At 43.5% G+C, this 23,187-nt stretch overlaps 1 protein-coding gene across 14 annotated transcripts in view, besides 9 other annotated features; it reads right to left on the reverse strand.

Annotated features, from left to right (window-relative positions):
* RAF1 (Raf-1 proto-oncogene, serine/threonine kinase) overlaps positions 1 to 21,869 on the reverse strand; it is an 80,517-nt gene extending 58,648 nt beyond the window's left edge. For 12 of the 14 annotated variants that reach the window (NR_148942.3, NR_148941.3, NR_148940.3 and 9 more), the window contains exon 1: positions 21,565 to 21,869. The gene's annotated coding sequence lies outside the window, so the exon portion shown is untranslated. Of the gene's footprint in view, positions 1 to 20,476; positions 20,549 to 21,120; positions 21,261 to 21,564 lie in introns of those variants that run through there. The other 2 variants (NM_001354690.3, XM_047448649.1) reach the window with 2 other exon arrangements.
* Positions 837 to 1,047: a silencer, noted in NCBI's record as "fragment chr3:12684584-12684794 (GRCh37/hg19 assembly coordinates)". NCBI's record gives its function as "represses an EF-1alpha promoter that drives an FKBP-Casp9 reporter gene in an ReSE screen in K562 erythroleukemia cells {active_cell/tissue: K562}" and the evidence as "EXISTENCE:reporter gene assay evidence [ECO:0000049][PMID:32094911]".
* Positions 6,480 to 6,529: an enhancer, noted in NCBI's record as "active region_19447". NCBI's record gives its function as "activates an Ori minimal core promoter by ATAC-STARR-seq in GM12878 lymphoblastoid cells {active_cell/tissue: GM12878}" and the evidence as "EXISTENCE:reporter gene assay evidence [ECO:0000049][PMID:35858748]".
* Positions 14,278 to 14,921: an enhancer, noted in NCBI's record as "H3K27ac-H3K4me1 hESC enhancer chr3:12698025-12698668 (GRCh37/hg19 assembly coordinates)". NCBI's record gives its function as "activates a minimal SCP1, AML or CMV promoter by ChIP-STARR-seq in primed H9 embryonic stem cells {active_cell/tissue: H9 hESC(primed)}" and the evidence as "EXISTENCE:reporter gene assay evidence [ECO:0000049][PMID:30033119]".
* Positions 20,951 to 21,561: an enhancer, noted in NCBI's record as "NANOG-H3K27ac-H3K4me1 hESC enhancer chr3:12704698-12705308 (GRCh37/hg19 assembly coordinates)". NCBI's record gives its function as "activates a minimal SCP1, AML or CMV promoter by ChIP-STARR-seq in primed H9 embryonic stem cells {active_cell/tissue: H9 hESC(primed)}" and the evidence as "EXISTENCE:reporter gene assay evidence [ECO:0000049][PMID:30033119]".
* Positions 20,951 to 21,594: a biological region, named in NCBI's record as "NANOG-H3K27ac-H3K4me1 hESC enhancer GRCh37_chr3:12704698-12705308".
* Positions 21,375 to 21,594: a silencer, noted in NCBI's record as "silent region_14066". NCBI's record gives its function as "represses an Ori minimal core promoter by ATAC-STARR-seq in GM12878 lymphoblastoid cells {active_cell/tissue: GM12878}" and the evidence as "EXISTENCE:reporter gene assay evidence [ECO:0000049][PMID:35858748]".
* Positions 21,562 to 22,173: an enhancer, noted in NCBI's record as "NANOG-H3K27ac-H3K4me1 hESC enhancer chr3:12705309-12705920 (GRCh37/hg19 assembly coordinates)". NCBI's record gives its function as "activates a minimal SCP1, AML or CMV promoter by ChIP-STARR-seq in naive H9 embryonic stem cells {active_cell/tissue: H9 hESC(naive)}" and the evidence as "EXISTENCE:reporter gene assay evidence [ECO:0000049][PMID:30033119]".
* Positions 21,785 to 22,134: an enhancer, noted in NCBI's record as "active region_19448". NCBI's record gives its function as "activates an Ori minimal core promoter by ATAC-STARR-seq in GM12878 lymphoblastoid cells {active_cell/tissue: GM12878}" and the evidence as "EXISTENCE:reporter gene assay evidence [ECO:0000049][PMID:35858748]".
* Positions 22,175 to 22,244: an enhancer, noted in NCBI's record as "active region_19449". NCBI's record gives its function as "activates an Ori minimal core promoter by ATAC-STARR-seq in GM12878 lymphoblastoid cells {active_cell/tissue: GM12878}" and the evidence as "EXISTENCE:reporter gene assay evidence [ECO:0000049][PMID:35858748]".

Here is a 23,187-nt window from a genome sequence, read left to right on the forward strand (position 1 = left end):
GACCATCCTGGCTAACACGGTGAAACCCCATTTCTACTAAAAATACAAAAAAAAAAAACCCCAAAAAACAAAAAAACAAAAACAAACAAACAAACCAAAAAAACACAACAACTAGCCAGGCGTAGTGGCAGGCGCTTGTAATCCCAGCTAGTCGGGAGGCTGAGGCAGGAGGAGAATGGAGTGAACCCAGGAGGCAGAGCTTGCAGTGAGCTGAGATCGCGCCACAGCACTCCAGCCTGGGCAACAGAGCGAGACTCCATCTCAGGAAAAAAAAAATTAATTAATTAAAAAAACAGTAAGATAAATAACACTTCTCCCATTTCAGTAAAAGGATGAAGCCAGTTTCTCAATGAATAAAAACAAGAGACTGTTGAATGTCAAGTTTTATAGACAGTCCAGACAACACAGGGAGACACCATCTCTACACACACACACACACACACACACACACACACACACACACACACACACAAAATAGCTGCGTATGGTGGCATGGGCCTGTAGTCCCAGCTATTGGGGCAGGGCCAGGGGGTGGGAGGCTGAGGGGAGAGGATGCCTTAACAGGGAGGTTGAGGCTGCAGAGAGCCATGATCACGTCACTGTACTCCAGCCTGGGTGATACAGCAAGACTCTGTCTCAGAAAAAAAAAAAAGAAAAAAGTCAAGAATGCATTCTTGAGGAATTCCACCAACAAAATGCACCAAATATAGCCAAAGAGTTTTCTGCTATATGCCAAGTGGAAAGCTATGAAGAAAGAGAAGAACAGAAGCAGGAGGACATTGGTTTTCATCTCCTATTCTTTCAAGAAGTAAGATCCATTATCTTTTAAAAAGTCTAAACACTGGTAAGGCAAGACACAACTCCCACCCATAACACTGCATCTCTGTCCTCAGGCAACAAATCAAATGTCAGATAAAAGCACAATATCTACCACTCAACCCCCAGGCTTCAGCACAGAACTCACAAACATTCTGCTGGCTAAGGCAAAAAGGTGTACTGTATTTCCAGAGAGCTTGCAGAGTTCTGAGCACTAATCCCATAATCCTCATATCTCAATCTACACAAAGCACCATCAGGCTAAGAAACAGATTATATAGCAGGCACAACACTCTTGGGTATGCAAACATGTTAAGGATCAAAGTAAGAAAAGAGTAACTATAGGGGCCATACTATATTTGCCAAAAAGTGACTTGTTTAAAAATTAAAAAGAAGCCGGGTGCAGTGGCTCACACCTGTAATCCCAGCACTTTGAGAGGCTGGGGTGGGTGGATCACCTGAGGTCAGTAGTTCAAAACCAGCCTGGCCAACATAGTGAAACCCCATCTCTACTAAAAATACAAAATTAGGCGTGGTGGCAGGCGCCTGTAATCCCAGCTACTAGGGATGCTGAGGCAGGAGAATCGCTTGAACCCGGAAGGCAGAGGTTGCAGTGAGCCAAAATCGCACCACTGCACTCCAGCCTGGGCAACAAGAGCAAAACTCTGTCTCAAAAAAAAAAAAATAAAAATAAAAACAAAAAAGAAATCCAGTTTACCTCCTTGTGCAATTCCTAATAAATTGCTGAGAAGTGATCTTACATAGGAATCTTGTATAATTTATTCTGATGCTCATAATCCAGAAGAATATAGGGTTGTGATAAAGGCATTTTCAACTCAACAGTCATTTCAGCCTTCTCACCCTGTGGTCCACCTCTAGAAATAACTTCGGTGAATTGTTGCATTCAGAGAATTTCTAAAAATAAGTTAAGTAGTACCAGATTAATAAACTATAAATTAGACAACAAACTTTCAAAAACCCTGGAAAGGTTTTGCTGGTTTTTTTCAGTTTATCATATCCTGTAAAAAATAAGAAAGCACAACTATGTTCAAGGTGCAAGATTATTAGGGAGCAGCACACATACAAAGTACAATGAAGTAGCTTCGGGACAAGTCAAATCTGGAGAGACTACAATTATTAAAAACTTACTACCTGTACTTAGGGTATCATTTTAAGTGATTTGAATCCTAATATTTTAAGGTACATCTGTCACATTAAAGCTAAATCTGAGGCATAAATGTTTCAGTGAAAATGTTATTTTATCAACGTCTAGAGAAGTAAGCCAAACTAGAACACCCACTTAAGTTTTCTCATGGATTGTACTGCCGCCAACTACTCTCCCAAAAAATGAGATTAGATTCCTTTGGACAGTGGTAAGAATTATCACAATTCTGACTAATGCAGCAAGCTTCTCAGGAGTTAAGTGTACAAGAACTACAAGTCCTAAAACTTCTGTCCAAAAGAGAGTCAAGAAGCAGCTGGACAAACTTAGGGTTAAGGATGACTTTGTTTTGCCCTATCCCTTGGCTCTATCCTTTTGCTTAGCAAGGGCTAGCAGTCAAATCTTCCTATTGCCCTTTCTGAGTAGGGAAACACCCACATGCAATAAACAATGTAAATACTTCAGGCATGGACATTTTTAAGTTTTCTTCAAAAACGCCTTAGCAAATCAATCATTATAATCAGGCACTTTGAAAAACCTCATTTTTGAGTTTTTCCTCAAATACTATATTTCACTCAAAAATATTAAGGCGGCCAGGCGTGGTGGCTCATGGCTATAATCCCAGCACTTTGGGAGGCAGAGATGGGTGGATCACAAGGTCAAGAGAGCCAGACCATCCTGGCCAACATGATGAAACCTCGTCTCTACTAAAGATACAAAATATTAGCTGGGCATGGTGGCACGTGCCTGTAATCCCAGCTACTCGGGAGGCTGAGGCAGAAGAACTGCTTGAACCAGAGAGTTGGAGGTTGCAGTGAGCCAAGAGCGCATCACTGCACTCCAGCCTGGTGACAGAGCGAGACTCAGTCTCAAAAAAAAAAAAAAAAAAAAAAAATAAGGTGGCAGGACAAAAATATCTAAGGTAGCCAGCCTTTTGGTATTAAGGTTTTAAGAGATTCTTAGATCTACCTAAAACCTAACTTCTGAGAACCCAGCAATGCTTTTTGTGTAGTTCCGACTCAAAAAAGTTTACTTAGTCAAGAGAACTCAGAATTTAACACAGCTTTACAATTTATTCAGCTCATCTTTCCATTATCTCACAGAACTGTTAGAATTAAGCAGGCTAAAGCAGGTATTATTCATACTATCCCTTTTTTTGATGAAGAAAAAAAGTAAAATTCAAAAGGTTTAGTGACAATTTAAGAGAAGCAAAATTAAAAATTCAGATACTCAGACTTTACATCTCTTTCCATTATAATACACTGATTTGAATGGTACAATGGGATTTGAAATTTTTATTGTTTAATGATGTTACTATTACCTTTAAAATTTTTGTTTGTTTTTCACAGTTGATCTGTACTTTGAAACCTAGGACTTAATTTTTGGAATACAGTAATGTAGTGGTTAAGAGTTTTAGGCACTGAACTCAGAAAAACCCAGGCTGGAAGTTTAAGAGCTATCTAGAAGAGTTCCTAATTATTGTACTGTACTGTATTTATTTAATCTTTTTTTTGTAGAGGTGGGGTGGGGTGAGGGGGGTGTCTCACTATGTTGCCCAGGCTAGTCTCGAACTCCTGGCCTCAAGCAGCGTCTCAGCTCAGCCTCCCAAAGAGCTGGGATTACAAGGCATGAGCCACTGTGCCTGGCTTATTACATTACTTTTAAATAAATATTGTTTGTAAATAATGCATCAGACCTCTGTGTGGAGGAAAGAAAAAGACTGTATATACCATGTCTTATATATCACAAGCAATTAAAATTTTTCTTCATATTTAAGAGATTTTTACTTCACTTCTAAACAACAAAGGATTTAGCTTAAATTCATTAGAGCAGTCATATTCTTAATGCTTTTTTATAACTTATCCTTTCTTTTTACTCATTAAATAATATACTAATAGATGGTGTATCAAAAATCTAATCTTTGTTTTTTAGAGACGGAGTCTCCCTTTGTCACCTAGGCTGGAAGTGCAGTAGCTTCATCATAGCTCACTGTAGCCTCAAACTCCTGGGCTCAAGCAATCCTCCCACCTCAGCCTCCTGAGTAGCTGGAAAAATATAATCTTTCATTCATGCAGCTAACATTATAATCTACAGCAAATGGATAAAGAATTAAGACAGGCAGAAATATAATAACGATATTACCGGTTTCTTTTAAGTCTTTTTTTTGAGGTGGAGTCTTCCTCTGTCACCCACGCTGGAGTGCAGTGGCACGATCTCAGCTCACTGCAACCTCTGCCTCCAGGTTCAAGTAATTCTCCTACCTCATCCTCCTGAGTGGCTGGGACTACAGGTGCGCACCACCAACGCCCTGCTAATTTTTGTATTTGTCTTTTTTTTTTTTTTGAGACAGAGTCTCACACTATTGCCAGGCCGGAGTGCAATGGCACAATATCGGCTCATTGCAACCTCCACCTCCCGGGTTCACATGATTCTCCTGCCTCAGCCTCCCGAGTAGCTGGGATTATAGGCACACACCACCACACCCGGCTAATTTTTTGTATATTTAGTAGAGACGGGTTTTACTATGTTGGCCAGACTTGTCTCAAACTCCTGACCTCAGGAGCCACCTGCCTCAGCCTCCCAAAACGCTGGGATTACAGGTGTGAGCCACCACGCCCAGCCTAATTTTTGTGATTTTAGTAGAGAAAGGGTTTCAATGTGTTGGCCAGGCTGGTCTCAAACTCCTGACCTCAAATGATCCACCCACCTTGGCCTCCCAAAGTGCTAGGATTACAGGAGTGAGCCACTGTGCCTGGTTTTTAAAGTCATTATTAAAATCTTCATTACCGGCCAGGCGTGGTGGCTCACGCCTGTAATCCCAGCACTTTGGGAGGCCGAGGCGGGCAGATCACGAGGTCAGGAGATCGAGACCATCCTGGCTAACATGGTGAAACCCCGTCTCTACTAAAAATACAAAAAATTAGCCTGGTGTGGTGGCGGGCACCTGCAGTCCCAGCTACTCGGAAGGCTGAGGCAGGAGAATGGCGGGAACCCAGGAGGCGAAGGCTGCAGTGAGCTGAGATCGCGCCACTGCACTCCAGCCTGGGCGACAGAGCGAGACTCCATCTCAAAAAAAAAAAAAAAGAAATTCAGGCCAGGCATGGTGGCTCACCCCTGTAATCTCAGCACTTTGAGAGGTTGAGGCAAGCAGACTGCTTGAGCCTAGAAGCTTGAGACCAGCCTGGACAACATGGAGAAACCCCATCTCTACAAAAAATCAGCCATGCACGGTGTAGCACATGTGTAGTCCCAGCTATTCAAGAGGCTGAAGTGGGAGGATCACCTGAGCCCAGGGAGGTCCAGGTTGCAGTGAGCCATGATTGTGCCACTGCATTCCAGCCTGGGCAACAGAGTGAGACCCTGTCTCAAACAAACAAACAAACAAACAAAACAAATAAATAAATTTTAAGTGGTCACAACACTGGAAAAAAAATAACTTTCACACATAAAAAGTTTCTGCTGAGCAAATATGCTCAAATGTTAGTTTCCTAACCAGTCCAAAAGGGCACTCTCATGCACTGCAAGGTGATGTGTACGTGTCAATATTTTTCGTTTCCTCACTCCTCTTTCTCAATTTCTGACCACAAACTGGTAACTTCATCAGATGACAGCCCAGAATAAACACACATGAAGAAATAAGCCACTCTACTCTTCTAAAAGTTAGCAGGGGCTGTACAAGTTTACAAAACAGACTCCTACATTTTAAAAGTGTAACTTTAAAAATACAAGTTAAAAACGAGCTAGTTCAAAAACAATTATGCTAAAACAAATCAGTTCCACAAATGATACCTGGAGCCAACTTTATTTTTAACTCTCACCACAAATAAGCTTAAATTATTTTCATTTTAAATCACATTGTCTGGACTCTTTTTTAACCCGAGTTTTTCTTTTCACCTTCAAATCAGTCATTGTTTTCTTCATCTAGTCAGCAACTGCTGATTTTTAAAATAAACAGATGTGTATTCAAAGTACACCATTAACACAAGTACCAAAACACACAATGTACAAATAAAATATGGTTTAGGAATGATTATTCAGATAGCCAAGTAACAGCGAAGTTAAAAAAAAAAAAAAAAAAGCTACATAATGAAGTAGGAAGGAAGGGGGAAAAAAATCACCTGGAAACACTAACAATTTCCACACTAATTTCTCTTTCATACTAAAGGCATTAATTTTCACAGTAAATCTTGCATATTCAACAAGTGGTTAAAAAAAATTAGCCCTCCTCAAAGATAAGGACACAGAATATAAGTGAATCATTCATTCTACACACTGGCATCACTCATTTGGCAGAGGAGATGTGTCCTCAAGAGAAGAGGTATTCCCCCAAGTTTACATCTTACCAAAGCAGTTTCAAGAAGTAACCATCTATATTAGCCGGATGTGGTGGTGCACACCTGTATTCCCTACTCAGATGGCTGAGGCACGAGAATCATGTGAACCCAGGAAGCAGAGGTGGCTGTGAGCCGAGATCGCACCACTGTCCTCCAGCCTGAGTGACAGAGTGAGATTCTGCTTCAAAAAAAAAAAAGTAACCATCTGATTCAGCCAGCTCCCCTACACTTCCTTCTGGAGTCAATGGCTTTCAAATAGAAAAATTCCCATCGGCCGGATGCGGTGGCTCACGCCTGTAATCCCAGCACTTTAGGAGGCCGACGTGGGCGGATCACCTGAGGTCGGGAGTTCAAGACCAGCCTGACCAACATGGAGAAACCCAGTCTCTACTAAAAATACAAAATTACCCAGGCGTGGTGGCACATGCCTGTAATGCCAGCTACTTGGGAGGCTGAGGCAGGAGAATTGCTGGAACACAGGAGGCAGAGGTTGCAGTGAGCCAAGATCACGCCATTGCACTCCAGCCTGGGTAACAAGAGCAAAACTCAGTCTCAGAAAAAAAGAAAGAAAGAAAAGAAAAAGAAAAATTCCCTAGTCTTTAGTGGTGCGCTCAATAGTAAACTTTAACAACTTCTAAGAGTTACAGTAAGACACCTGTAAAACTGATAATATCATTTGTTCTTCAGAAATTACTTTTAACCAACTTTTCAATAATAATTTTCTCAAAAGAAAGACATGTTTAAAATTTTTCCCTGGCCAGGCATGGTGGTTCATGCCTGTAATCTCAGTAATTTGGGAAATCAAAGCAGTAGAATGGCTTGAGCCAAGGAGTTCAAGACCACCCTGGTCAACAGAGTGACACCTCATCTTTATAAAAATAAAACAAAATTAGCTGGGCATGGTGACACATGCCTCTAGTCTCAGCTACTAAGGAGGCTGAGGCGGGAGGATCACTTGAGCACAGGAGTTTGAGGCTGCAGTGAGCTATGATCGTGCCACTGCACTCCAGCATGGGGGCCAGAGACTGTCACACACACACACACACACACACACACACACAGTTTTCACTGTTAGTTACACCATTAATTCATTAAAGCTCTAAATTATACCCTGCTATTTTGCCAGAGGATAAAATAGTAAATGAAACACAAAAATATAACCTAGGGTCAGGCTCACACCTGTAATCTCAACACTTTGGGAGGCCGAGGTGGGAGGAGTGCTTGAGCCCAGGAATTCCAGATCAGCCTGGGCAACTGAGGGGGAACATCAACTCTACAAAAAAATTGTTTTTAATTAGCTGGGCAGCCAGGCACAGTGGCTCATGCCTGTAATCCCAGCACTTTGGGAGGCCGAGGCAGGCAGATCACCAGGTCAGGAGTTCGCGACCAGTCTGGCCAACATAGTGAAACCCCATCTCTACTAAAAATACAAAAAATTAGCCAGGTGTGGTGATGGGCGCCTGTAATCCCAGCTACTCGGGAGGCTGAGGCAGGAGAACTGCATGAACCCAGGAGGCGGAGGTCGCATTGAGCCAAGATCACGCCATTGCACTCCAGCCCGGGAGACAGTGCGAGACTCCATCTCAAAAAAAAAAAAAAAAAAAAAAAAAAAAATTTAATCAGGCATGGTAGTCATGCCTACAGTCCCAGCTACTCAGGAGGCTAAGATAGAAGGATTGTCTGAGCCCAGGAGGTCGAGGCTGGAGTGAGCCGTGACTGCATCACTGCACTCTAGCCTGGGTGACAAAATGAAACCCCATCTCAAAAAAGAAAATATAACCTACATAATTATATACCAAAGCATTGAAGAACTACATGTATTTCCTATAATCTTGTTATAATCCATCATCCAGTATAGGACATTGCACAAAATTAGGTACTCAAATATCTGCTGAATATCAATGGAGAAAAGTTAACAATTACAATATTTTCCTAACCCTTTTTCATGAATACCGAATCACTATCACATAAATCTAAAGAACCAGAATGCCTCTCTATAGACTGTAACCCAGCATGGAATGAAAGGAAAAAAAGAATAAAGAGCACCATTCATTCAACAATTTCTAAGAATCTACTTTCAACTGTTAGCTGCTTTGAGGAATATAAAGTTCAGGGAGACATGGTCCTTGCATTTCAGAACCCCTTAAAGTAGAAGTAAAAACCACCACCGTTTAACAAAAATTGAATATGTGCTAGGCACTGGGCTAAGAGCTTTCAGGAAGACAAGTAGGCCTACAACAAAATATGAAATTAAAGGTAGGGAGGATTCTTAAGAAACATACTATAAGAATCTGAAATGTGGTAAGGTCACTTCTAGCTTGAGTGGAAGAAGAGGTAGACAAGGATATTTCATTGTGTATTTGAGCTTAAAGGGGCAATATTTCAACAGACTAACGCAGAGGTAAAACAAAAGCTAAAGTGTGCCCAGGGAATAAGCACAGACAAGCAGGTAAAGAAATGAGCCTGATGAAGGATACAGCCTTTCTTATTACATAACTTTGTTTCCTTTTATTTTAAATATTCACAATTAATGTCTTTACAAAGGCACTCATTATAAATAGCAAGCCTTTTTACTTCTAAAATGTTTACCCTGCTTTTTTTCTATAGCACTTAAACATTACATGTATTAGAGGGGATCTTTTAACCCCTTCTTTGTTTTATCTTTCCTTTCCTTCTCCCAATAACCAATTATTCTTCAGTGTTTCCCTACATGCTTATAATCTCATACCAATATATATAGATTTTTTGCAATAATTTCTTTTCCCAATAATTTTTTAAGATACACAAATTGGGCTGGGTGTGGTGGCTCATGCCAGTAATCCCAGCACTTTGGGAGGCCGAGGAGGGTGGATCACCTGAGGTCCAGAGTTCGAGACCAGCCTGGCCAACATGGTGAAACACTGTCTCTACTAATACAAAAAAAATTAGCCAGGCGTGGTGGCTCATGCCCATAGTCCCAGCTACTCGGGAGGCTGAGGCACGAGAATCGCTGGAACCCGGGAGGCGGGGGTTGCAGTGAGCTGAGATCGGTTGCCGTGAGCCGAGATCGCACCACTGCACCCTAGCCTGGGCAATAGAGCGAGACTTGGTCTCAAAAAAAAAAAAAGATACACGAATTGATCACAGAATACATGTTCAAAGAGGGAGGGAAACAAATTAAAAATATGAGCTGGGCACGATGGCTCATGCCTGTAATCTCAGCATTTTGGGAGGCCAAGGCGGGCAAATCACTTGAGGTCAGGAGGTTGAGACCAGCCTGGCCAACATGGTGAAAACCCGTCTCTACTAAAAATACAAAATTAGCCAGGTGTGGTGGCGCATGCCTGTGGTCTCAGCTACTCGGGAGGCTGAGTCAGGAGAACTGCTTGAACCCAGGAGGTGGAGGTTGTGGTGAGCCGAGATCGCGCCACTGCACTCTAGCCTGGGCAACAAGAGCGAAACTCCATCTCTAAAATAAATAAATAAATAAATAAATAAATAAATAAATAAATAAATGATATAAAAAATTAGCTGGGCAGGGTGATGAGTACCTGTAATCCCAGCTACTCGGGAGGCTGAGGCAGGAGAATCGCTTGAACCCAGGAGGCAGAGTCTGCAGTAAGCCAACATCATGCCACTGCACTCCAACCTGGGAGACAGAGCAAGACTCCATCTCAAAAAAACAATAATAAATAAAAATAGGCCAGGCGTAGTGACTCACACCTGTAATCCCAGAACTTTGGGAGGCCGAGATGGGCGGATCATAAGGTCAGGAGTTTGAGACCAGCCTGGCCAACACAGTGAAGCCCCGTCTCTACTAAAAATACAAAAATTAACTGGGCATGGTGGCCGGTGCCTGTAATCCCAGCTACTCGGGAGGCTGAGGCAAGAGAATCACTTGAACCCAGGAGGCAGGGGCTGCAGTGAGCCAAGTTCGCACCACTGCACTCCAGCCTGGGCGACAAAGCTAGACTCGGTCTCAAAGAAAAAAAAAATCAAAACTTATGCATATACTTACAGACCATACATAACACCATTTGCACAGACACACATTCACACTTGAGAGAAATGTAAACAAATGTTAAGATGCAGTATATTAAATAACTGCAGCATATTAAATAACTGAAGCCAGGTGCAGTGGCTCACATCTGTAATCCCAGCACTTGGGGAGGCAGAGGCGGGTGGATCACTTGAGGTCAGGAGGTTGAGACCAGCCTGTCCAACATGGTGAAACCCTGTCTCTACTAAAAATACAAAAAATTAGCCAGGTGTTATACAGCTACTCAGGAGACTGAGGCAGGAGAATCACTTGAACCTGGGAGACAGAGGTTGCAGTGAGTACAGTGAGCCAAGATTAAGCCACTGCACTCCAGCCTGGGCAAGACAGTGAGACTCCATCTCAAAAAAAAAAAATTTTTTTAATTAAATAAATAAATAACTGCATAAAATTAAATGATGTTGGCTGGGTGCGGTAGCTCATGCCTATAAGCCCAGCACTTTGGGAGGATGATGCGGGTAGATCGCTTGAGGCCAGGAGTTTGAGACCACCCTGGGCAACAGGGTGAAACCCCATCTCTACTAAAAATACAAAAATTAGCTGGGCATAGTGGCACAGGCCTGTAATCCTAGCTACTTGGGAGACTGAGGCAGGAGAATCGCTTGAACCTGAGAGGCAGAGGTTGCAGTGAGCTGAGATCTTGCTACTGCACTCCAGCCTGGGTGACAGAGTGAGACTTTGCCTCAAAAGAAAACAAACCTGTTGTACAAACTATATTACTACAGTAATTTCATAGCCACCTCTTCTTTCTATTGCAGTGAACTCAAGTGTTACAAGTTGCATGTGTCCACTTAAAAGGCCTTGTGTCCCTCTGAGCAGTTGGTCTCTCCAGTACATTTCCTATTGCAGTAAAAAGTGATATCTCTTGGCTGGGCACATTGGCTCATTCCTGTCATCTTAGCACTTTGGGAGGCCGAGCTGGTGGATTACTTGAGGTCAGGAGTTCGAGACCAGCCTGGCCAACATGATGAAACCCTGTCTCTACTAAAAATATAAACATTAGCCGGTTGTGGTAGCGAGTGCCTGCAATCCCAGCTACTAGGGAGGCTGAGGCAGGAGAATCACTTGAACCCAGGAGGCAGAGGAGAGCTGAGATCATGCCATTGCACTCCAGCCTGGGCGACAGAGCAAGACTATGTCTCAAAAAAAAAAAAGTCATCTCTCATGGGTCTTCTGTATTTTTCATCATGTACAGTACAATACCATAAACTTTGAATAACAGCATGGGTCCCATATGAAGTACCACTAGTGATGCTGGAAGCGCTCCCAAGAAGCAAAGAAAAGCCATGACATTATAATAAAAAGTTGAACTACTTGACTTATACAGTAGATGCAGGTCAGGTCAGCAGCTGCGACTGCCGGCCATTTCAGACAGACTATTCATCTTTTCTTTTTCTTTTTTTTTTTTTTCAAGAGACAGCATCTTGTTCTGTTGCCCAGGCTAGAGCACCATGGCACAATCATAGCTTATTGCAGCCTCCAATTCCTGGACTCAAACAATCCTCTCTCCTCAGCCTACCAAGTAGCTGGGACTACAGGCGCATACCACATGCCTGACTAGTTTTTTTGGTTTTAGAGATGGGGTCTCACTATGATGCCCAGGCTGGTTTTGAACTCCTGGCCTCAAGCAATCCTCCCTCCTTGGCCTCCCAAAGTGCTGGGATTATAGGCATGAGCCACAGAGGCTGGCCCTAAATACATTATAGAATAAAAAAGTATGAGAGGCCAGGCACAGTGGCTCATGCCTATAATCCCAGCATTTTGGGAGGCCAAGGCGGGAGAATCACTTGAGCTCAGCACTTCGACATCAGCCTGGGCAACATGGCAAAACCCCATCTCTACAAAAAATACAAAAATTAGCTGAGTGTGGTGGCACACACCTGTAGTCCCAGCTACTCAGCAGGTTCAGGAGGGAAGATGGCTTGTGCCTGGGAGGTCAAGGCTACGGTGAGTGGAGATCGCACCACTGCACTCCAGCCTGGGCAATGGAGTGAGACTGTGTCACTCACAACACAAAAAAAGGGTATGAGTATAAAGTAACTACAACTGTGTGTATCAACTTATAGAAAAACTTTATTCATTTTTTTTTTTGCTTATTTTTCTTCTTACACCTCACAAGGATGAAAGAAAGTGTTCTTTTTAAAAAGATGTCATTAATTGTGTACATAATGTATCCCTTTGAACAACATTATACACAAGTTTAAGAGGGAGGAAAAAACCCATCAGATCCAAATATAGCCAAATTCAAAGGTTCTGGTTTGCCCATTACATCTAAGTAGCAATAAGAAGAAAAGGAGGGCTGGGCGCAGTGGCTCAAGCCTGTAATCCCAGTACTTTAGGAGGCTAAAATGGGAGGATCAATGGAGGCCAGGAGTTCGAGACCAACCTGGTAAACATAGTGAGACCCCCCCCCCGCCATCTCTAAAATAGTAAAAATAATAATTTTTTAAAATGCAAAAAGCCTACAACCACTTCACAGTCATTAGGGTTGTTATTTTATTTATTTATTTTTTGAGACGAAGTCTCACTCTTGTGGAGTGCAATGGCGCAATCTCAGCTCACTGCAACCTCTGCCTCCCGAGTTCAAGCGATTCTCCTGCCTCAACCTCCCAAGTAGCTGGGATTACAGGCATGCGCCAACAAGCCCAGCGAATTTTTTTTGTACTTTTAGTAGAGACGGGGTTTCACCATGTTGGCCAGGCTGGTCTCGAACTCCTGACCTCAGGTGATCCGCCCGCCTCGGCCTCCCAAAGTGCTGGGATTACAGGCATGAGCCACCGTGCCCAGCCCAAGATTGTTACTTTAAAAATTAAAAAAGAAAAAATAACAAGTGTTGGAAAAGATGTGGCAAAACTGGAACCCTTGTGCTTTGCTGGTGGGAAATGTAAAATGGTGCAGTCACTGTGCAAAACAGTTTGGCAGTTCCTCAAAAAGTAAACACAGAATTACCATATGATCCAGTAATTCTACTCCTGTGCATTACCCTAAGGCACTGAAAGCAGGGGCTCCAACAGATATTTGTACACCAATGTTCACTGCAGCATTATTTACAACAACCAAAAGGTGGAAATAATCCAAGTGTCCATCACTGATGAGGAGATAAACAAAATGATATATTCATACAATGAAATATTATTCAGCCATAAAAAGGAATAAAATACAGATACATGCCACCACCACATGGATAAACCTCAAAAATGTGCTAAGTAAAATAAGCCAGACAAAAAAGGCCAGATAGTGTATGACTCCCCTTACATGAGGTACCTGGAATAGGCAAATTCATAGAGAGAAAGTAGAATAGGGGTTACGAGGAACTGGGCATAGGGAGGAATGAGGAGTTCTTGCTTAATGAGTACTGTTTCTGTTTGAGGTAACAAAAAGGTTCTGGAAACGAGTAGTGGCGATGGTTTTAAGACATTGTGAATGTTGTTAAATGTCACTGGATTGTAGATACACACACACACACCCCACCCCCAATCCGCCCCCTTCCAACTTACATAAGACAGCCTAGGGGTCCATTTTGCATTGTCAGGCAATACTAGATAATACTAGCCAGGGAAATCACAATCTCTCCTCTCAAAATCACACTATAATGCTGGACCAGACTAAGGTCAAAAATGGTAGAAGATTATCATTTATCCCCCCATTCTCTCTGGGTATAACTTTCTTCCATATCTAAAACCTATGAATGCAAAAGGAAATAGCCAGCATGGTAACAGCTGCTTGAGCTGAAGAGTCAGTGTCCTGCTAAAGCAGGCAAATGTCATCAAGGAGCTAGCAGGCAGAACCTAGAGCACTCTACATATAATGCCCAATAGAGGGAGAAGCTTAAGCAACTTACCTCCTCCAACAGACAGGTCCTAAGTTACAAAGTTCTAAGTTTGAATTTAGTAAGTGTAGCCTCTTTACTGTAAGCATTTTGGAGAGATGGCAGTAGAGTGAAACTAAATCCATAAGTGATTAACCTCTGATTAATGTTTGCTGTGTAAGACAAGGTTTTGAGAACTGGAGATATATAAAAAAGGATAAGACATGCCCCACTGGAAATATATAGGCAAGAGTAAGACATGCCTCATTTTTAAACTGAGACATAAGACATCTATACAAGAAATTCAACTTGGCCACTGCGGTGGCTCACACCTGTAATCCCAGCATTCTGGGAGGCTGAGACAGGTGGATCATCTGCAGTCAGGAGTTCAAGACCAGTCTGGCCAACATCATGAAACCCCATCTCTACTAAAAATACAAAATTTAGCCGGGCGTGGTGGCAGATGCCTGTAATCCCTGCTACTTGGGAAGCTGAGACAGGAGAATCACTTGAACCCGGGAGACAGAGGTTGCAGTGAACCAACATCACGCCACTGTACGCCAGCCTTTGTGATAAGAGTGAAACTCCATCTCGGGGAAAAAAAAAAAAAAGAGGAATAGATAAAAGTAAGGAAATGTCAGCCTCTCTCAATTAGATAAGGTCCTTGAAGGTAGGAACTTGCCTTATGCTGCACCAAGTGCACTGGCCTGCACCTACAGGGGCCTAAAAATACTGGCTTTTGATTTCCACTAAACATACTATTACTATGAGAAAGCCATGTGAGCAAGACACAGAAGCAAGAATTGTATATACTTAGTCTGGTAGCCAGGGAGAGCCTGGAAGATTTGAGCAAGAAAGTAAGGCCAGCACATCTACCCTTAAATATTTTTGTGTCGTCACAAAATAGGATACATAAGAATTCACATTTCCCTCTGTGAAAGGAAGCTGGGTAGCTAGAGAACAAAGGAGAACGTAGAATAACTATGCACAACATAACTTTCTATATCCTTTAAATTTTGTGACATCTGACATTATTACTTACTCAAAGAAAATAATATTTAATTCTTAAGAATTTCCAGGCAGGGGCCAGGCGCAGTGGCTCACACCTGTAAATCCCAGCACTTTGGGAGGCCGAGGTGGGCAGATTACCTGAGGTCGGGAGTTCGAGACCAGTCTCACTATCATGGAGAAACCCCATCTCTACTAAAAATACAAAATTAGTCGGGCATGGTGGTGCATGCCTGTAACCCCAGCTACTCAGGAGGCTGAGGCAGGAGAATCGCTTGAACCCAAGGCAGAGGTTGCGGTGAGCTGAGATTGTGCACCACTGCACTCCAGCCTGGGCAACAAGAGCAAAACATCTCAAAAAAAAAAAAGTACACAATAAAATGGCTTTTATTATATTCACAGTTGTGGATCCATCTCCATAATTGTAGAACACTTTTATCACCCAAAAAAAAAACAAAACAAAACAAAACAAAACAAAAAAAAACCCTATCACAGTCACTGACCATTCCCTACATCCCTCAGCCCCTGATCTACTTTCTGTCACTAAGGATTTTCCTATTCTGGACATTACATATAAATGGAATAATTCAATATGTGGTCTTTCCTGCATGGTTTCTTTTACTTAATATGTTTCCAATGTTGTAGTATACACCAGTACATCCTTTCTTTTTATTACTGAGTAACATTCCATCACATAGTAGTGCTTCCATATCCACTTGGAATATGTTCCAAGACTACCAATGAATGCCTGAAAGCAAGAACAGTATACTATACTGTATACACTATGTTTTTTCCTGTACATACATACCCATGATCAAGTTTAACATATAAATTAGGCACAGTGAGAGATTAATTATAATTAATAATGGAACAATTATAAGAACATAATATCATAAAAGTTATGTGAGGGCTGGGCGTGGTGGCTCACGCCTGTAATCCCAGCACTTTGGGAGGCTGAGGCAGGCAGATCACCTGAGTTAGGGAGTTCAAGACCAGCATGACCAACACAGTGAAACCCTGTCTCTACTAAAAATACAAAATTAGCCAGGTGTGGTGGCGCATGCCTGTAATCCCAGCTACTCAGGAGGCTGAGGCAGGAGAATCGCTTGAACCCAGGAGGCAGAGGCTGTGGTGAGGAAAGATCATGCCACTGCACTCCAGCCTGGGCAACAAGAACGAAACTCCGTCTCAAAAAAAACAAAAAAAGAAACAAACAAAATTGACTGCCACTGCCTGCTGCTTCCCATTTATTAACAAAAAATGTAAACAACCTCTAAATCATAAAGATTTTAAAACCGTAAACTAGCTTTAGGATTGTTAAGCCCCACCCAGTAAAACCCCTTAGAATCTGGTCTAAAAATAAAACCGTGTGTCAAGTGTTCCTCAAAAAATGCTATGTACACTGATTGGAATGTGATGCCAATTAACATACTTTGTGAGTAATTTGCCAAACTTTAGATAGTCTAGGCCAAAACCACTAACAAAGAAACAACACCCACTTGACATTTTCCTTAGTTAAGCTGAGATTCTAGGGGTCATTTTAGAAGAAAGGCAAACAGATGTGAAATTAACTAAAATCATTTAGAGCTACGCAAGTCATTCTGGGAGAAAAGAAGTAACAAAATGACTCAAACATTGTAAAATTAAAGATCAAACCTTAATGTGTAATTAAGGAATTTTTACTTACAACTCTAAGGCAAGAAAAAAATAGCCATTACTATCATGAGAATTACAAGGCAAGATGCCTGAGCGAGCCTGTAATGCCAGCACTTTGGGAAGCCGAGGCAGGTGGATCACTTGAGGTCAGGAGTTCAAGACCAGCCTGGCCAACATGGTGAAACCTCGTCTCTACTAAAAATACAAAAATTAGCCAGGCAAGGTGGCCGGCGCCTGTAATCCCAGCTACTCGGGAGGCTGAGGCATGAGAATCCCTTGAACCTGGGAGACGGAGGTTGTAGTGAGCCAAGATCACACCACTGCACTCCAGCCTGGGCAACAGCACCAGATTTCATCTCAAAAAAAAAAAAAAAAAATTACACGCAAGATAAGTTAGCCCTATACCAAAAGTACCAACTGAATTGCAACACAAATATCTAGTATTACATTTTGAACCCAGTCAGATGAGCAATTAGGAATTCTACCCTCCCATACACATACCAAACAACCTCATCCTAAATAAACCCAGTGTTCTCTGATTTTCCAATTAATTTATTCAAGGTAAGTAATTTTCCACCTCATAGTCATTTGTTTTGAAGAAATGACTCCCAAGATCTGAACAACTTAAAAACAAAAACTAAGTCAAAAAGCTCAATTTTATGGTTTCATAAACCCCCTCACTGTCACATTATCCACTGCCTTTCAAAGGCAATATTTAAAATTGTCTTCTGCAAGTCAACATTAAGGCATGCTGTTTGGCTAACAAGCTCCTCCCAAGCTCAAGATTATTATGTATGGCCTATTATGATCCTAACATGCAAACAAAAGTACTCCCTCATGTAACATTTTTTTAGGCAGTAGGTTACTAACAAAGATTTACCTGAAATTTAAATGTAGAATCATACATTTACTAGTAATAGACTACCTGAAATAGTAGTTTAAAGTTATCAATTATATTTTTTATTTCGTAAATAATCCAGTGCTTCTGGAAAAGTCAAATTTAACTTCCAAGAAGTATGAACTTGCTTAATCTTCAGAGCAAACAAATGACATGTTATAAACTAAAAGCTACTAGTCTAAGAGCAACTGTAATATAATACTTGATGTTTAACATTCTTCACTTCATCTTTTAGATACTTTTTGTCAGAAATTACCAGCTTAATCTGCTTCTCACTGTTTTTTTCAGCTAAACCAAATCCCATAAAATACGTTCAAGCCTTCTATTGAAGGCACACTTTTTTTTTTTGAGACAGGGTCTCACTCCATCACCAACACTGGAGTACAGTGGCATGAACATGGCTCACTGCAGCCTCAATCTCCCTGGGCTCAGGTGAGCCTTTCACCTCAGCCTCCCAAGCAGCTGGGACTACAGGCATACTACACCATACCCTGCTGATTTTTTTCTTTTTGTGTGTGTGTATTTTTTGTAGGGACAGGTTTTCACCATGTTGCCCAGGCTGGTCTCAAACTCCTGAGCTCTAGCAATTCACCAGCCTCGGCCTCCCAAAGTGCTGGGCTTACAGGCCTGAGCCACCACAACTGGCTGATGTTTTTACAACTACTGACAAGACTTTAACAAAACTAAGGAACTCCACTACAATTTATAATCACAAAACACCACATATCAGCCAGGCACAGTGGCTCACGCCTGTAATCCCAGCACTTTGCAAGGCCAAGGCGGGTAGATCACAAGGTCAGGAGTTCAAGACCAGCCTGGCTAATATGGTGAAATCCCGTCTCTACTAAAAACATAAAAGTTGGCTAGGCGTGGTGGCAGGCGCCTGTAGTCCCAGCTACTCAGGAGGCTGAGGCAGGAGAATGCTTAAACCCAGGAGGCAGAGGTCGCAGTGAGCCAAGATCGCACCACTGCGCTAAAAAAACACCACATATCTTTAAAAGATAAGCCTTTAGTACAGAAACAGTAACAGGTTTATTTTTCCAAGTATCCCAGCATTCAACTGGGTCAAATGTTTATGTTGCATTTTAAACAGCTTAGCCCTTGAGTGATAAGGGTAAAAACAAGCCAAAATAATCCTGAATGTTCTTCAGTGGTATATAATCATCACAACCAAAGCAAGATTTAGAAACTGCAACTGAAGTCTGTTAATTCCATAATAGTCACTTTAGCATAAACATTAATCACAATATTATAGCTATTTTAGGAAAATTATGTTTATGGGGATAAAGATTTTATAACAGGTTGTTATCCGAGAAGTCAATACAAATAAATAGTTTATAAAATACACTTATTAAACTAAAAATACTCACATTCTACACTTTTTTTGATGTTTGTTTTCTATAGTCGTCCAATTTCTGTAAGACTGGGGAGTACATTACTTATATTTAAAATTTAGGCCAGGCACAGTGGCTCATGCCTGTAATCCCAGCGAGGCCGTGGGAGGCCGAGGTGGGCAGATCTCTTGCGGTCAGGAGTTCGAGACCAGCCTGGCCAACACGACAAAACCCCATCTCTACTAAAAATACAAAAATCAGCCGGGCGTGGTGGAGTGTGCCTACCCAGCTACTCAGGAGGGTGAGGCAGGAGAACTGCTTGAACCAAGGAGGCAGAGGTTGCAGTGAGCCGAGATCGCATCATTGCACGCCAGCCTGGGCAACAGAGTGAGACTCCGTCGCAAAAAAATAAAAAACAATAGAATAATAAAATAAAAATTAGTAGGAGAGTGTTCTACATTTATAAAGTTAACATTTTTGTGAGCAAGTATAACTTTAAGAGAATTTTTTGCAAGAATCCCCAGGAATATATGAGTTCAATTCATTCACCACTGTGTAAGTCAAAACATTTGATATAAAACACTTATCAAAAATGTTCTGCTAGCCAGGCACAGTGGATCACACCTGTAATTTCAGCACTTTAAGAGGCTGAAGCTGGAGGATCACTTGAGCCCAAGAGTTCAAGACCAGCCTGGCCAACATAGTGTGACCCCCTCTCTATTATTTAAAAAAAAAAAAAGTTCTGCCTGGCCAGTGGCTCACCCCTGTAATCCCAGCAAGCACGTTGGGAGGGAGAGGTGGAAGCAGGAGGATCGCCTGAGCCCAGGAGTTTGAGACCAGCCTAGGCAACACTGCCAGACTCCATCTCTACTATTTTTTTTTTAATTAGCCATGTGTGGTGGCACCTGTCTGTAGTCCCAGCTACTCAGGAGGCAAAGGCAGGAGAACTGCTTAAGCCCAGGAGTTAGAGGCTGCAACCGAGCTATGATCATGCCACTGCACTCTAGCCTGGGCGACAGAGTGAGATCCTGTTCCTTTAAAAAAAAAAAAAAAAAAAAAAAAAAAAAAAAAAGTTTGCATTGTTCTGAAAAAATAAAAAAAAATTTAAAAGTCATTAACTAAGTTAAACTAAATATGTTCAATCACTATCAGCTTCAACATCAACAAAGGGAGAAAATTATCAGCAAGAATGAAGACTCGGCAACCCATGTACAATAATCCAAATTCAACTAGTTCACTATCTACAACAAAGACAGCCCCCTCACAATTCTAGCAACTTTTATTTTACTCTCATCTCTCACCATTTCCTTCCTGCACCCCAGGCAATTTGCTGCTCCCCAAACTCATCCCAACTCCCACATGGCTCTAAGCCTTTGTACCAGCTGTTCCCTGAGCTCCTCCTCACCCGATGAGCACTTACTCACAGGTGTTTCAAAACTCGACTCAGAAGTCTCCTCGAGTGTAGAAGCTTCCTCAACTCCTCCCCAAGCAAAACTAACTGTTCTAAATCCCCATAACACTTGATAAGCCAATTCTTATCACACTGCATTGTTTTCACGCCTTAGGAGCGCAGGGAGGGCAGAGTCTCTCCACTCAGCCCACAGAGGACCAGGCAAGCAGAAACGCTCAATGAACGTGCCTTGAATTCATTTTCCACTTAGATTAAGTGACCCCCTAGAACCCGTTCACATCTCAAGGATACACTAAGTTCCATTCCTTCTTCCCACCACAGAATGAATACCAGGGGCACACCCAGAGCCCTAGAACGAGAACAATGAATGAACACGGCCGCCTCGCCTCTCACGACGTCCAAACCCCTCTCTCTTGGGCATCGACTCGCTCGCAGAGCCTCAGCAGCTGCAGAGCTGAAGCGTCCCGGCGGCTCTCGCGTCACACAAAAGACAGCCCTGGCTCTTCATTCCAAAGCGTCCTGAGGCCAATCCTCTATAAGTATCCCAAACCTTTCATTAATAACCCAGAGTCCTGATACCCAAGGCTAGTCCTGATACCCAAGAAGAGGCCCCTGTGCCTTTGTGGTAGGGCACTGGCCAGTTTCCTCCTCTCTTACCCGATTCCTCACGTCGTCTCTAAAAGGGTGTCACTTGACTGAAGTACCCTGAGAAAGGGTGCAAGCCCGGGTCCCACATTCGGCGGCCCAAGAGAAAAGGAATTGGCCCATCCAAGTGACAACAGATATGGGGCAGCTCTGGGCGGATTTTCCCACTGCCAAATATGAGGAATGCGCATGGCATAAGGGTGGCGTTGGCACGTTTCCGCCAAACACAAGGAAATTTGAGTGGGATGTGGGAACTCGGCTCGCCGGCCATGACACCGGACTCCGGGGCCCCCGCCCAACGCTACCCCAGGGTGACAACGGCCTGGCCCAAGCCCTCTGCCCGGCAGCCGCGGGGCCGCTCCATCAGCGCCACCCAGGCCCGGTCGCCCTGGAAGCCGATCCCTCAGCCCCGCCGCCCGGCTCCCCCGGCATCCACGACCCGGTCCTGCCACCTACCTGAGGGAGCCAGGCCGCCCCAACGTCCTGTCGTTCGGCGGCAGCTTCTCGCCCGCTCCTCCTCCCCGCGGCGGGTGAGGGAGCGGGAGGCGGTCACATTCGGCGCGTCCCCAGCCCAGGGGACGGAGCCCCGAGCAGCCCCCGCATCGTAGCAAACGCGCTCCGCGCCTCAGGGCACGCGCCCCAAAGCCCGGCCAGCTGACCCTTTTCGGGGCCCAAAAAAGGCAGCAGAAAGCCGTTCCCGCCTCACAATCGTTTTCCTCTTACTCCCGCCATCTAAGATGGCGGCCCAAGCGCCCGCGATTAAGACTCTCGGGCGGCCCAGACGAGCGAGCCCTCGACTCGGTGCTCGTCCTCCCGACCTGCGACGCCACCGGCTCTCCGATTCTGCGCGAGCCCTACTGGCAGTCGACTTCTAACTTGGCTCGGGCATCCATCGCTCTGGCCTGAACTCAGGCCCCGCCCCCGGGGCGTGGCCTAGCGATCTGGTGGCCGCCATTTCGAAGCTGAAGAGGTTAGGCGACGCTGACTTGCTTTCAGGAGAGGCACTCGGTAATCGAGAAGAACCGGCTTTCGGCCAGCCAGGAGTGGCCAGAGGCCTAGAAGGGGAGAGGAAGGCCTGCCTGCCCAGCATTGCAAGGCCCAGCGATCACCAGACGTGCCTCAGGACACAGGGCACAGTGTCCAACTTTGACGCGTCCTCTCCGGGCACTTTAATACCAAATCACGGCTCCGCCACTTGACAGCTATGTGGACAGTCCCTGAACCTTAAACGGTCTTTTCCTTGTGTGTAAATTCCGAGTTCATTTTTCCCCCATCACATTAGCAACAAGTTAAAAAAACTGATAATATCCGGTTTGGTCCAAGGTATATTGAAACCTGTTGTGTGCCCTCGCAGCGCTATCACAGTGGAACTTGGACATGTTAAAAGTATATATCCTTCCTCCCGGCAGTTTCACTTCTAGACACTAATTCTAGAGAAATAAGTATACACATACACAAAAAGCTATGTGTGAAGATATTTAATGCCATATTATTTGCATTCTGGAGAAACACTGGGGATGAAATGAAGATTAATAGGAAACTGGTTAAGAGAACGCTGCTACACATCCAATCTGGGTTGTCATCCATCCAAGAATGAACTAGATAGTTACTGAATTTAAAAAACAACAAAAAAAGGGCCCGGCGCTTTTTTTGGGATTACTCCTGTAATCCCAGCACTTTGGAAGGCCGAGGCAGGCGGATCACCTGAGGTCGGGAGTTCGAGACCAGCCTGACCAACATGGAGAAACCCCGTCTCTACTAAAAATACAAAAATTAGCCGGGCGTGGTGGCGGGCGCCTGTAATCCCAGCTACTCAGGAGGCTGAGACAGGAGAATCGCTTGAACCCGGGAGGCAGAGGTTGCAGTGAGCCCAGATCGCACCATTACACTCCAGCCTGGGCGACAGAGCGAGACTCCGTCTCGAAAAAATAAATAAATATAAAAAAATAAAAATACCAAATTAGCTGGGCATGGTGGTGCATGCCTGTCATCCCATCTACTCGGGAGGCTAAGGCAGGAGAATTGCTTGTACCCAGGAGGCGGAGATTGCGGTGAGCCGAAATCGCGTCATTGCACTCC

The sequence above is a fragment of the Homo sapiens genome, chromosome 3 (assembly GCF_000001405.40).
Source record: "Homo sapiens chromosome 3, GRCh38.p14 Primary Assembly".
NCBI lineage: Eukaryota > Metazoa > Chordata > Mammalia > Primates > Hominidae > Homo > Homo sapiens.